We start from the raw sequence: 14,019 nt of genomic DNA on the forward strand, positions 1-14,019 counted from the left end.
CCTTTTATCTTGGCCTGGCCAAACCCAACTTGGCCTCCAGCTCAACTCTACCCCAGCGCCCTCTGATGCTAATTTAACCACCATTTCCCAAGCACCTCCTTGATCTTACCCCTTCCACATGACAAATCCACCAAGGGGTTTGTATGGGCCTATGTTACAGGACAGGTTCAGAGAGGGCAGATGCTACGCCCAGGGCCACACAACCAGTTAGTGGAGCAGTTAGGATTCCAACAACCTGGCCTTCTTCTTCCTTTTTTTTTTTTTTTGAGACAGAGTCTCGCTCTGTTGCCAGGCTGGAGTGCAGTGGCGTGATCTCGGCTCACTGCAGCCTCCACCTTTTGGGCTCAAGCAATCCTCCTGTGCACCTGGCCTTCTGATCCTATGGTTCACCTATCTCCTATGAATGGACGACTCTGACTGCCAAAGTCACACATCGGGCAGCAGAGTTAGCCCAGTGTGTGTTCTGGGTGTGTTTGGGAGTGTGTGTGTGCATGTGAGTCTGTGTATGCCCGTGCTGCTGGCCAACTAGACTGTTAACTCCTGCCATGTGTACTTTTGCGTGTTTTTCTTTTCTTTTCTTTTCTTTTCTTTTCTTTTCTTTTCTTTTCTTTTCTTTTCTTTTCTTTTCTTTTCTTTTCTTTTCTTTTCTTTTGAGATGGAGTCTCACTCTGTTACCCAGGCTGGAGTGCAATGGCGCGATCTCAGCTCACTACAACCTCTGCTTCCTGAGTTCAGGCAATTCTCTGCCTCAGCCTCCCAAGTAGCTGGGATTACAGGTGCCCGCCACCATGCCTGGCTAATTTTTGTCTTTTTAGTAGAGACAGGGTTTCACCATCTTGGCCAGACTTGTCTTGAACTCCTGACCTCGTGATCCGCCTGCTTCAGCCTCCCAAAGTGCTGGGATTACAGGTGTGAGGCACCGCGCCTGGCTTTTTGCATGTTTTCACAGCCCCAACACCCACACTGGGGGCACAGGGCCAGAGCACAGCCCCTAAGGTCACCTGCTCCTCATCCTACTCTTACAAAGCTGAGAAGGTGTGCAAGTCAGAGTTGATGGCTCCCTCCCCTGGGCACCAAGAGAAACTCGCATTTAACGGCATCCTAGCACTTATCTCATGTCGTAGCCATGATTTGCTTACACGTCTGCCTCCTCACCAGACTGTGAACTCCCACCCCCCCCAACCCCGCCCTCGCCCTCCCCAGGCCAGATGCTGTGTCTGATTCATCTCACATCCCCAAGGCCTGGTGCTGTGCACATAGTAGGTGCTCAAGGAACGTGCATGGAAAGGATGAGGATGGAGGATGTGGGGTTGAGTCAGTCAAAATTCATTTGTTCGAGTCATTCATTCATTGGTTGAGTCATTCAGTCTGTTGAAACAAGCAAACACCTGTTGAATGCTCTGAGCCAGGCACTGTGCACAGTCTTGGTGGAAATCCAAGAGGGCTGACCCCATCATTCATTCACTCATTTTCATTCATTCATTCACTCACTCAACAAAGATGGAACTAGGCCTGCTGTTTGCTGGGGTCCTGGAACAGAGCAAGTAATCAGACTCAACCCCCACCCTTGAGGTGCTCACAGCCTAGACACGGATCTGACATTCACCACCAAATGCTAGACGGGCATATCAGGAGGCCAAGGCGGCAGAGGCTGAGGAAAAACTGTCAGACTCAGCCCTGGCTCTTGGAAAGCTTAAAGCCTGGGAGGAAGACAAGGGGGGAAATGGAGGAATCAAGTTCGTATGTGTTATGCATCGGTTTGTTAAGCCCATGGCAAAGGCAAGCAAACCTATTAACCCACTTGATCCTTTTGCATGGTAGATATTTATTTATTTATTTTTTTGAGACGGAGTCTCGCTCTATCACCCAGGCTGGAGTGCAGTGGCATGATCTTGGCTCACTGCAAACTCCGCCTCCCGGGTTCACGCCATTCTCCTGTCTCAGCCTCCCGAGTAGCTGGGACTACAGGCGCCCGCCACCACGCCTGGCTAACTTTTTTTTGCATTTTTAGTAGAGACGGGATTTCAGCGTGTTAGCCAGGATGGTCTCAATCTCCTGACCTAGTGATCCGCCCGCCTCGGCCTCCCAAAGTGCTGGAATTACAGGCGTGAGCCACTGCGCCCGGCCTGCATGGTAGATATTAATTATTGACCCATTTCACAGCTGAGAAAGGAGATCAAGGAGGGGAAAATGACTTGTGCAACTGTCCCACTAAGAAAACTCTGCCTGCTGTCTAATTCTAATTTTTTTTTTTAAGGCAGGGTCTCACTCTGTCACCCAGGCTGGAGTGCAGTGGCATGATCATAGCTCACTGCAGCCTCCACCTCCCAGGCTCAAGCAATCCTTCTGCCTCAGCTGCCCGAGCAGCTGGGACTTCAGGTGCATGCCACTGTGCCCAGCTAATTTTTGTATTTTTTCATAGAGACCAGGTTTTCCCACGTTGCCCAGGCTGGTCTCGAACTCCTGGGCTCAAGCCATCCTCCTGCCTTAGCCTCCCAAAGTGTTGGGATTACAGGCATGAGCCACCGTGCCTGGTCTAATTCTCTATACCAAAATTTCTCTGTTTATCTGAACGGTACAGTTTCTGTCTCTCGACTGGACCCTGACTGACACTGGTGATGGTAACAATGACAATTATTATTCTGATGGCTGCCTTCCAGGGATGAGCACTTAGTATACACGATGGCTCACCCTCGTCAATAAGAGCTGGCGTTATTCCCATTTCAGGAAGAAGGATGGAGCCTCAAAGAGGGGGAGGGACTTGTTTGCTCCCCACCCCCATCTGCCTGTGGGGCCAGGGCTTCTTCCCCATCAGCTGCACGAGGGCCTGGGAGTCAGAGGATTGGTTGTGAGGCCTGTGTCGCAGAGCAGGAGACAGGAGCACGTGGGGAGAGAAGTGCCGGCACCATGTTGGTTCGGTTTGACAAACACTGAGTCTTCCCTGGGCTCCAGGCATACTGCTGGCTGCCACAAGGCGGCACGTGGCCACCCGCCAAATCCCCAGCACTGCAAGTTCTGCCGAGGCAGAGGGGGCTGAGGGCTGTTTTGGAAGACTTCCTGGAGGAAGGGGGCTGACAGACCAGCTCTGTCATGCTAGCGCCTGTCTCTCTAAGTACCCCCACCAGCTGCCCTTCAAGGGCAGGAAGCATCAAGAAACAGGTGGGGAGATTGAGGCTTTCCATGGGGCTGACCTGCCCAGGATCATCTGCAGCTCAGGTGGCTAAAGTACCAGAGGTCATGACATTGAAAGACCCGGCTCTTGCCAACCAGCTGCCACGAGCCCCCCTGCCTGCTCCGTACCTCTCCTCTCCTAGGAACTCCAGAAGTGGGGGTGTTCTTCCCATCTCCCTTCAGCACTCCCTTCCTGCTCAGGGACCCAGGTTGTCAGGACCCCCAAGGTCCTGAATTGCTAAAACTCCCATCCCACTGTCATTCCCTTCAGGGGCCACGGGGGCTGCACGTTGGCCTTTCCCCTGTGCCCTGCCGTGCCGCCACGTGGCACCTGCACACACCACTGGCTGAATGCAGACACAGGGGAACTGAGGACCCACAGCCCCCTTTCCTCTGGCTTTCTGCACAGGCTGTGCCCCCACCCTGGAGCACCCCTTTCTCCTCTTTTCTACTCCTGCTCATCTTAACACTGGGGGCACCTCCTCCAGGAAGCCACCTTCACCCCCAGCCACTCCATCCCAAGCCCAGTCCCAGATGTGGGCTCCCGCAGGGATCTGGATTCCCTGTGACTTTGCTCTGAGCACTCTGGACTGTAGCAGCAAACTATGTTGTCTGCCCTCTGCTAGGCCATGAGCTCAACACTTTGTCCCCAGCACCCAGCTCCAGGCCTGATACAGAGGAGCTCAGTAAATATCTGTTGGATGGATGGATGGATGGATGGATGGATGGATGGAGGAATGAATGGAGGAATGACTGGATGAAAGGGTGGAAATAGTGAAGAAGTGGAGGGTGCAGAGATGCAGTCAAGAGGAGTGTCTGAGCTTGGCCCTGGGGGAGGCGGCTATCGGGGATGTGAGGGGCCTGGGGTGGCCGCTGCTAGGCAGACCTTGTTGTAGAGGGCGCAGATGTGCAGAGCCGTGTTCCCCGAGGCGTTCTGGGCTCCAGGCTCAGCCCCGTAGAAAAGCAGATGCTCCAGGTGCTGAGAGTGACCCCGCTGGCAGGCCTGGGCAGGACAGGGAGCGAGGGGCATGGATCAGACCCAGGCTGTTCTCCCTCTGGGCCAAGAGTCTGTCTATGACCTGTGCACTGGCCTTCTCATCCTATCGTTCACCGCATCCACCTCCCCATCACCTTTTAGCCCCGCTTCCTGCTCTGGGACCCAGGCTGTCAGCCTCAAAACCCAAATGTTCAGTCATTCCAAGGCCCAGGCGTCTGGTCTGCCTCCTTAAGGGGGTCAAGAGGACAGCCCATCCCTCTCAGGGGTCAAGGCATCAGGTTCCCCAGCCTATGCCCCCTTAGGGTCTTTCTGCCTTCACCCCCACCATTTCCTCTTTGGGGACCATGTTATTCTCACCCCCATGCTCTGTGAGGACCCTGGCATCTGGTTCCCAGCCCCAGCCCCTTGGATGCCTCAGGGACTGGGTCCCCCACCCCAGCCCTTCATGGCCTGAATCAGGAGCACCTGGTGGATTTCCTGCCAGCCGTTCTCATCAGCTATGCCCAGCTGGGCCCTGTTGAACAGGAGCAGCTCGCAGCATCGGGGGTCACCACCCACCATGGCCGTGTGGAACAGAGGGGTCAGCCCCCGACGGTCCTTGTAGTTGGGGGAACCCCCAAGGTCCAGGAGCGCCTAGGAACGGAGAGAGAACCCAGTAGAAAAACACAGATGACAGTCACACATTAACCAGCTCATTCTGAAGGGCCAGGGGGACTGGACCGTCCTGGGTGACCTACAGTGGCCAATGACAGTCTCAGTTCTGCCGTGATGCCCTTGTGCAACCTTGAGCCTGGCCCTTTCCCTCCCTGGGCCACTCTGATTCCGTGTGAACAATGTGGGACTTGGGTAGATGCCTCCAGAGGACACTTGCACTCTGACATCCCACCCAGCCTTCCCCCTGGGGGCGATCTTGGATGAGCCATTGAAAGACATTAGGGGCCACAGTACCCACCCATTCCACTTCCTACAGGTGGGTTGTTGGGGACAAGTGAGAGGACAGAGTCTGGATGCTGGAGGGTCTCTGACCAAGTGGGAGGTGTTATTAGGTCCAGGATCTCAAAGAAGGGGCACAGCAGGAAGCCAGGGGACAGGTAAGCTTGGGTAAGGGCAAGGATCGGGCCGGCCTCACTGGGGCTGGAGGCCACTTCCTGCCCCCACTTGAAGGACAGCTCTGGGTGTGGAAGGCTGGCAATAATGAACATTAATAGGAGAAAGTCTTGGCAGCAACCTCGTGTGAGGACAGCCTGTAGCAGTGCCACCCAACAGAACGTTTCCCCCATCATGGGGATGGTCTGCAACTGCACCACCCTATATGGCAGGCACGTGTGGGCCCCTGAGCACTTGAACGTGGCTAGTGAGCCTGAGGAACTGAAATTTTAATTTTACTTCATTCTATTTAATTTAAATTTAAACAGCCCCAGGTGGCCAGTGGCTACTGGCTTGGATAGCGCAGGTCTGGAGGCTGGGAGGGGCGTGTGTGAGCAGGATGTGGGTTTGGGGGTGAGTGTGCATGGGAGATACATGAAGAGGATCTGTTAACTCCAGGGGTATACTGCAGATCTTTGTGGCTGGCATCTGACTGCATTAGGGGCTCTTCAGGAAAGCATCTGAGGGAGAGAAGGGAGGGGCCGTTTAGCTGGAGCAGCTGTGCGTCGGGGTGCTTCTCAATGGCTGTCTTTGGGGGCAGCCCATCCTGACCCTCATGTGAAGAGCAATCAGGTGTCCTGGCGGGGGCAGGGGGAGAAGAGTATTTTAAAATTAGACTGTGCAGCTGCCGCTGTGTATGTATTTTGTGGGTGTATGGGTTTGTCTATTTGGGAAAGTGCATTTGAGGCTGTGTACGTGGGGAAGGGGCTGTATTTGCATGTGAGAGAGGAGGGAGGGGAGCTGGTGCAGTGCTGGTTTGGAAGGGTAGCTGGGGGGCTGTTTTCAGGGTGTGTGTGGAGGGGCTCTATCTGGGGGCATAGCAGGGAGCTCACTTCGTATTTTAAGGAATGAGAAGGGTTTACACCTTGGGGAGACAGAGGCAGATTTGGTATTAAGCTGGGCCACAGGGGATGGAGACGTTCTGGGTGTTTAGGGGAGGAGGCCGTGCCCGGGTCTGTGTGATGTCAGCTATAGCCCAGGTGGGTGCATCTGGGGGGCCTGACAAGGGTGACAATAGGGGCTGTGTCTCAGTCTATGGAAAGGGGCTTTGAACTGGGGACATGAGAGGGCCTATTTTTAACTGAAACCAAAGAACTGAGGTTTGAGAAAGAACAAAGGGAAAAGGAGAGAGGGCCCCATGGCGGGGATGGGGGGTCCCCGAAGCCTCACCGTGAGTGCCAGGCAGTGTCGGGCGCATGCGGCCTTATGCAGTGCGGTCATGCCATCCCGGGCCCGGAAGTCAATGTGGGCCCCGCCCAGGCACAGGGTTCGAATCACCTCTACAGAGCCTTCGGTCTGGGCCGCCAGTGTCAAGGGGGTCTCTGAAGGGCGGGAAAAGCTGGTCACATGAAGCCCCTTCTCCTCCCCTCCATCCCTTCCCATTTTCCAGGCTCTGCAGCTCTCCACCCCACAGCCTCTGGCCCCGTGGCCTCCCCCTTGGACAGCAATGTGTTTGGGAGACACCAGTCAGGAATGGATGTGAATGCAGATGGCACCCCTGCTCCCCAGCTCTGTCCTGGCCCTGAGGTCCTCCTGATGCGCACCCCTCCCTACCTCCCGAATCCGAGTCATGGTAATTGGGGTCCAGCCCCTTGTCCAGCAGCCGCGCCACCTTGTCAGATGTCCCGAGCTGCACATACTCCAGGAACTTCTTCAACCCCGTCTGAGCCATGGGCAAAGAGAGAGAAGACAGGACAGTCAGGAGCAAGGCAGAGAAGCAGGGTCCTCAAGCAGCGACGTCCAGTGAAAATATACGTGGAGTCACATACGCCATTGAAAAGCTTCTAGCAGCCTCCTTTACAGAGAAAATACCCAGCCCTTTGGGAGGCCGAGGCGGGAGGATCACTTGGGCCCAGGGGTTCGAGACCAGCCTGAGCAACAAAGTGAGACCCTTATCTCTACAAAAAATGCAAAAAACTAGCCAGGTTGTGGTGGCACACGCCTGTAGTCCCAGCTACTCGGGAGGCTGAGCTGGAAGGATCCTTTGAACCCTGAAAGGTTGAGGCTGCAGTGAGCCATGATTGCACCACTGCAGCCCGGGTGACAGAGCAAGACCCCGTCTCAAAAAAAAAAAAAAAAAAAATCAGGGTGGTTGGGGGTGAAGTGTTAGTTGTGTTGAAATTCGTGTTAATGATATATGTTATTTAACTGATATAGCTACAATGTTACTGTTTCAACAGGTAATTGAGATGAAAATTATTAATGAGGTTATTTAACTTTTTTTTGGTACTAAGTCTTTGAAACCCAGTGTGTATTTCACACTCACAGCGAGTCTTAGTTGGGACCAAACACACTGCAAGCACTCAGGAGCCACACTTGGCCAGTGGTTCCCAAAGTGGACCGTGAAAGTCTGGAGGGATGGAACATTTAGGGGAGGAAAGAGTTCAATGCATGCTGTGGTGGGGAGAGGGTAGACAAGGAGGGACTGGGAGTTTTTCCTTCTCAAGGATCAAGAGTTCTTCATTTCTGACCAAAGCAGTTCCCGATTTCCTCCCAGCTCTCACCATCGAGACACAGGACAGACAGGGGCTGAGGACTGGCGGGCAAGGTACCAGGAGGACAGATATGGCTGGAAAGGGGGGTGTAATGGTTGGATTTTGCAGAGATTCAGGCTATGAGGTTGGGAGAAATGTAGCCTGTCTTTGAAATAGACTCTAGGCAGAAGGACCTTCAGTGTCAGGGTCCTAGGCCAAGGTGGGGAAGTAAAGAGGCCTTGGATGGATATGGGGGGAGGCAGGGGAAGAGAAGGGAGACTCAAAGGAGGCCAGGTGGGAATGATGTGGGCCCAGGCAGAGGGATGAAGGGCAAAAGAGGAAAGTAAGAAGGGGTTGTGATGGGGATAATGGGGGGTATTTGTGGTTGTCTCAAATGTGGTACAGCATCCCAAGTTAAGCGGGGGCAGTGGCCAGAGGGATCGCTGGCTTGGGGAATGTGGAGGTCTATTGGGAAGAGGTGGGGAGAGAAAGTGGTTGGGTAGGGGGCTCCAGTGGTAGGGGGCTATAGGGGATAGATGCCAGCAGGGTTTTCTCACCTTCGTGTGCAACTTGGCCAGCTGCTTCTCATCCAGGTTGGTCTGTTTGTAAACTCGGGTCTTGTATCGGAACTGAGGTCAAGGGTAGGGTAGTGAGAGAGACACAGAGACTTGGAATCAGGGGCCTGGGGAGAAGGCTTGGGGTAGGGGAAGGTCTGATCCCCTTCTAATTCCCCGGGGTAGCTCAGGGTGGGAGTGAAAACAGCCCTGGAACCTTGGTCTAGGCGGTAGATGGGTGGCAGTGGCTTTTCCGACAGTGCTGGGTATTATGGTATATGTGCACTGCAACCCCTGCCTTGAAGGAGGAGGAGTCTGGACCCCACAGGGAATGTTCTAGAGTGCCTACTGTAATTGGGAATCCTCCCCCAATTTGATGGGTGAGGAGAAGCTTGGGGCAGGAAAGTGACTTGGCCAAGGCCACTTAGCTGGTCAGAAGCAGAACAGATGGTAATTTGAACTCAGGACTCTCTGACTTCCCTGTGATGCTTAGAAGGTCTGGACTCGCACACTGGGTGCCCCCTCGTTAAGGTTTCGAGTGTGTTAAAAAGTGGGTGGGGGGCAGATGTGTTTTAGGGCATGCCTTCTCTTATCAGTGAAGGAGTTGGGGAAGCTTCACCTCCAGGTAGGGGACCCCCTTCTCAAAGGACTGGGGGTACTCCCGCAGCAGCCTCTCCTCCTCCAGGAAGTTGGCATCGCGGCCGGAGGTGGCCGGTTGGAACAGGCCATAGTTGAGCACATCCTGCAGGCTCTCGCTCAGGGCACAGAGCACCTGCTGCTTGGCCGTCCAGATGGTGGCATCGGGGTTGAAGCGAAGGCATTTCTGGTTGGGGAAGAGATAGGGGCTAGGGTGGGCCAGGGGCCAGAGGAGAGCCTGAGGTGGGTTGGGAAGTGAGCCAGGAGCTGAGTGTGGGGGTGATTCCTGGGAGGATACCCAGCACCAGTGGACTCCCCATGTCGGTTGGGGCACTGTCCCTCTCCTGCCGCTGGCCAGTGGGCAGGTACTCACTGTCTGGTGCAGGTCCGGGATGCCAATCCTGAAGACCATCATGCTGAAGTGGGCGTCGTCTGGGACGGACATTGAGCGGCCCTGGAGGCCTCTAACAGAGGCCAGGCTACCAGGTGCCCCACTGCCCTGGCCCCGGGTCCCCCGGGGGCCTCGACCTGGCCCGTCTGGGGAGCTGTCGGACTCTGAGCCCCCCTCGGGACACTCGCTGGCACTGTGGCGTTCCTCGTCCTCGCTTGTCGCGGGGCTGTGGGTCATTGTGGGGCCACGGGGCGACGGGGGACGGCAGCATCACAGGCGGCTGCAGGGGCCAAGGGCGGCCATCAGACTAGGAGCCCGGGACCCCTCAGAGGCCGCAGGCGCTATTCGGTGGTCAAGCGGTCAAGGGCAGCCTACCCCCACTGCCCAAGATAGGCAGGAAGGAGGCTGGACACACCCTCGGCCTGCACGGCCTCCCCTGCCGCCTCCTCCCACGCTGGCACGCACACACCCCTGTCCCTGACATGCTTCTGGCATGTGTCTCCTTCCCTGCCCTTGGCCCCGCTTGCAGCCCGCCCCCTGCGCCCCACTTTGCTGGTGACCCAGCGTGGCCGTGTCCCAGAAACCGCAGAATCACCGCGGGAGCTACTGGCCCACTTTGCCAGGCCACAGAAAATGCAGCTAAAATTAGCTAAGGACAGACAGGTGGACAAACTGACAGGCATCCTGCCCTCCTGGCCCCAGCCTGGCCCCTCATCCCAGGGCCGGGGGGTGGGGTTGGGGAGAAGCTGAGGCTGACACTGAGATGTAGTAAGGGGGAGAGGGAGGTGTGGTGAGCCTGGAGCGGGTGGAGCTGGTGACTTCACTCAAGTGTGGCTGACAACGCGTGGCATGCCGAATAGTGCTGGGGAATCTGCCGTCCCAGGGGAGCAAGGGGCACTGAGATGGGGGTGTCATGGGCAGAGCATTTGGCCTAGGGTGTCCCCAAGGGAACCACAAGAGGTGGCTTTTGGAGACTGGGGCATCTTGAGAGGGTGTGCGGGTAGGTGGGGAGGTCGGCCTGGGGAGTGCTGTCCAGGTGACAGTGGTGTGGTGGCCCGGGTAGATGTGGGTGGCTGCAGATGACCTGTAGCTCTTTTCTAGGACTGCAGGGTGGGTGGGCTGGCTTGCTGGGTACTAGGGGCTCCACTCTGAGGACTGGGGGTGTTAGGAGGGAGGCTAAGAAGTGAGAGGAGGGTCTGGGGAACTGAGTGGGGGATCATCTCTAGATCCTTGCTGTTCTCCCTTGAGGTGGCCTTATGAGGGTGGAGCCCCTTCCAAATGGGGTCCGCCTCCCTTCTGTTCTCCCCCAACTCCCACCCCAGCACCGGAAACCAGAATGTCTGGTCTGGTCCCTCCCCCCAACACCAGGCCCGGTTCCTGCACCGTTGCCATGGAGATGGGAAGCAGTGGAGGGTACTGCTGACTTTGGGGGAGTGGGGATGGGCTGGGGGGTTGGGAAAGGGAAGACTAAATGTGTGTGGTGGGAGGAGAGTTCCAGGAGGTGTGGGCGAGCGAGCCTCTAACCCAGGGCCGGCGGACCCCTCCCCCACGCGCGGCAGCGCTGCGAAGCCCCCTCCCCCTCCAGGTACCCAGCCACGCCGCCCCACCTCGTCCCTGCGGAGACCCCGGCTGCCTCCTCCCTGCCCCGCCGCACAGCCCACCTCGCGATCTGGGGCCCGCAGACACTCCCCCTCGGCTGACCCTGGCTGACCCCCAGCCTCAACCCCGCTCGGAGGGGGTGGCCGGTGGGATGAAAGAAAAGCTGGCTAGGGCCCCCCGCGCGTACGGCTGCCCCAGCCCCCCCGGGCCGGCTCCGGCCCCTCCCCCTCAGGGCTCGCGGGAGGGAGCGGGCACGCTCCGCCGGGGCGGCATGAATCAAACGCTCCGCGGCTAAGAATAGCTGGCACGCAGCTGGTACCGAGACGGGCTGAGGAATCGGCGAGGGGGGTGGTGGAGGACGCGAGAGAGGGGGTGCCCTGGGAGGCTGTGGGGGGACAGGGGGCGGCTGGCGTGGCCGAGAGCGGGGCCGGGGAGAATGAATGGAGGCGGAGGGAGGCGGGGAGGGGCGGGGAGAGAGAGCCGGAGCCGAGGCTGGGAAACTGGTGGGGGAGAACCCGGCCGGGGAGAGGGGCGGGGGGCACCGGGGAGCAGGAGTCGGGGGCGGGAGCCGAGGGGGCGCGCCGGCCGGCGGTGTAGGGACTGGAGACCTGGTGGGGACGCAGGGAGCTTGGACAGGGGTGGAAAGGGACTGGAGGAGCCTGGAAGGAGAAGCGGGAGCTGGAGGGGTCGAAAGGGGCGGAGGAGGCCCGGGCCTAGACCCTCGCTGGAGGGGAGTGGGGACCAGGGTGACCTGGCGGAGGGGCCCAGGTACGCCAGGGAGGGCGAGGCGGGGGAGTGGCCGGGCTGGGCGGGGAGGCGGGTACCAGGACCGAGCCCTTGGCCCCGGAGAGCCGGGAGGCGGGTTCGGGATAGGGGCTCTGCTGGCCGGGGGTGGGGGGCGCGCCCTCCCATCAAGGATGCGATCTGGGACGGGGCACCGGGGACCCGGGCGTAACCCAATTTGGTGTCGCCCAGGGCAACGCTCCCCACCTCACCCGTACCCCCAGCCGCACACCCAGGCCAGGAGCCCGGCGCCGGGCCAAGGACATCCGGGGCGCCCTCGCCCCCTCCCGCGGCCCCGGCCCCGCAGCTGCCCCAAACCCCCAGGTTCTCGACCCCCTTACCTGCCTGGCGGGGCTGCTGAGTCCCGGTCGGCGGCGCCCGCGGCCCCTCCCCCCTCCCCCCACCCCCCACCCCCCCGGAGACGGGGACCCTCAGGCCATGCCCCACCGCCCCGGAGGGCGAGCGGGCCCGGGGAGGGGGCGGGCGGGGACCGGGGGGGAGGGCGGGAGGGCCGAGGACCTCACCCCCCCCGCGGGCCGGGCCTGGCCATCCGCAGAGCGCCCCCCCTTCCGCCGCGGCCGCCGCGCCCCTCCTCGCCCGCCCCCGGCTCGGTCCGGCCGGCTCCGGGCGCCGCGTCTCCGCCTGCTCTTCCTCCTCCTCTTCCTCGGGCCGCCGCCGCCGCCGCCCGCTCCGCGCCTCCTCTGCCACCCTTCTCGCTCTCTCGCTCTCGCTGTCTCTCCCTCACCCTGTCTCTCTCCCTCCCTCTCTCCCTCCCTCCCCTCCCTCCGCCCTCTCCCCTCCCTCCGGGAGCCGGCGGAGGAGACATCGCCCCTCCCCGCGCCCCCAAACCTCGCCCATCCCCCACCACCGCCGGCTCCGCCCCCTACCCTTGCCCTCCCCCACCACTCCTCCCCACCTCCGAGTCCCCAAATCCTGACTCCGCCCCTGCTTGCTCCCATACCCCGAGGAAGGGGTCCTGCCCCCATAAGGTGCCCCCCCACACACACCTCAGGACCACCCCCTCCCAGAGAGCTCCCCGCCGCCCTACACAGAGTGGGGCACAATAAATATTTGTTGCCAGACTCTACACCCCCAAATTTAAGTGTGAAGGCTATAGATTCCCACCCTGTCCCCCCAAACACACACACACCCTTTCCATTTAAGCACTGGGTCAGGGCACACGTGGACATACCTGGGCCAGGCCACATTTCCCCAAGGCACAGGTGCATAGTCACCAGCTGTAACGGCACCTGCAGAGTCCCCACATACACACACTCTCCAGCGCATGCATGCCCAGACACAATGCACCTGGGGTACACAGCTACAAACACACCCAGCTACATGCAGTTGTCACACCCCTGTGCCCGGGCACACACGCAGCACATGCACACATTTGCCCACCACACACGCACGTGCGCGCGCACACACGCACACAGGCGTTCACCCCGGTATGCATGCCCAGATCTCTCAACACCAAAACGGAGTTACAGCACTGTAGAGACGTGTGCACGCCTTCCCATCACACCCACCCACCGTGCTGTCCATTGCACTGGCTCGCACTCACCCGTTTACATGCCCAACACCGTGCCATCCTTCCCCTCCAGGATAGTTACTGCTGACATTCCTGGAGCACTTTCTGTGTGCCAGGCTCAGGGACTTTCGCCATCCCCATTTTCCAGAGGGGGAAACCAAGGAACAGAGAGGCTAAGTAACTTGCCCAAGGTCATCCAGCTGTAAGGAGGTGGTAACAAGGATCAGGAACAGGTAGGCTGGCTCCAAAGTCCTCACTTGACAACTATGGTGCACTACTGGGCATATCCCCTCATAGTTGCATATCCTTATTCATCACACACAGACACACCCAACCGTCTCCTCAGAGTTTGCACATGTCTGTGTAGGCACGCATATGCAGCCAGCTGCAGGCAGACAGCTCATTCATGCCTGGGACGCACCCACAGGGACAGAGCAGATCCCACAGGGCAGCAGTGAGTGGTGAGTGTCCCCTTAGCCCAGGCTTCCTCATTCTCCCAGCTCCAACAGCACCTCCAGGGCCTGCAGGGGGCAGTTCTAGGCAGCTTCTGGGTTCCCCTCCAGCTGCAGGCTCTCCGGGGTACCCGAGTATGAGCTGGAGGAGGTGCCTGCTCAGCCTGGGGAGGCCTCTATCTTGATGCGTACCCACTAGCCCAGGTGGTGAGCAGCTGGGCCCGGGGAAAGCACAGCTGCCCATGTTGGCTCCAGCAGCCAGAGAGGCTGTGCACCCCTGCACAC

At 58.8% G+C, this 14,019-nt stretch overlaps 1 protein-coding gene across 3 annotated transcripts in view; it reads right to left on the minus strand.

Moving 5' to 3' along the window:
- The window catches only part of SHANK1 (SH3 and multiple ankyrin repeat domains 1), a 60,548-nt gene extending 48,059 nt beyond the window's left edge, over positions 1-12,489 (minus strand). For all 3 annotated transcript variants that reach the window (XM_011527014.3, NM_016148.5, XM_011527013.3), the window contains exons 1-8: positions 12,093-12,489; positions 9,352-9,649; positions 8,962-9,165; positions 8,346-8,417; positions 6,869-6,977; positions 6,485-6,636; positions 4,634-4,801; positions 4,058-4,174 (exon numbers count right to left, since the gene is read on the minus strand). In XM_011527014.3, the coding sequence (XP_011525316.1) occupies positions 4,058-4,174; positions 4,634-4,801; positions 6,485-6,636; positions 6,869-6,977; positions 8,346-8,417; positions 8,962-9,165; positions 9,352-9,606 (1,077 nt within the window). In that variant the 5' untranslated portion in view covers positions 9,607-9,649; positions 12,093-12,489. The remainder of the gene's footprint in view (positions 1-4,057; positions 4,175-4,633; positions 4,802-6,484; positions 6,637-6,868; positions 6,978-8,345; positions 8,418-8,961; positions 9,166-9,351; positions 9,650-12,092) is intronic.
- Positions 12,490-14,019: the final 1,530 nt, after the last annotated feature.

Source organism: Homo sapiens, chromosome 19, assembly GCF_000001405.40.
Source record: "Homo sapiens chromosome 19, GRCh38.p14 Primary Assembly".
Taxonomy (NCBI): Eukaryota; Metazoa; Chordata; class Mammalia; order Primates; family Hominidae; genus Homo; species Homo sapiens.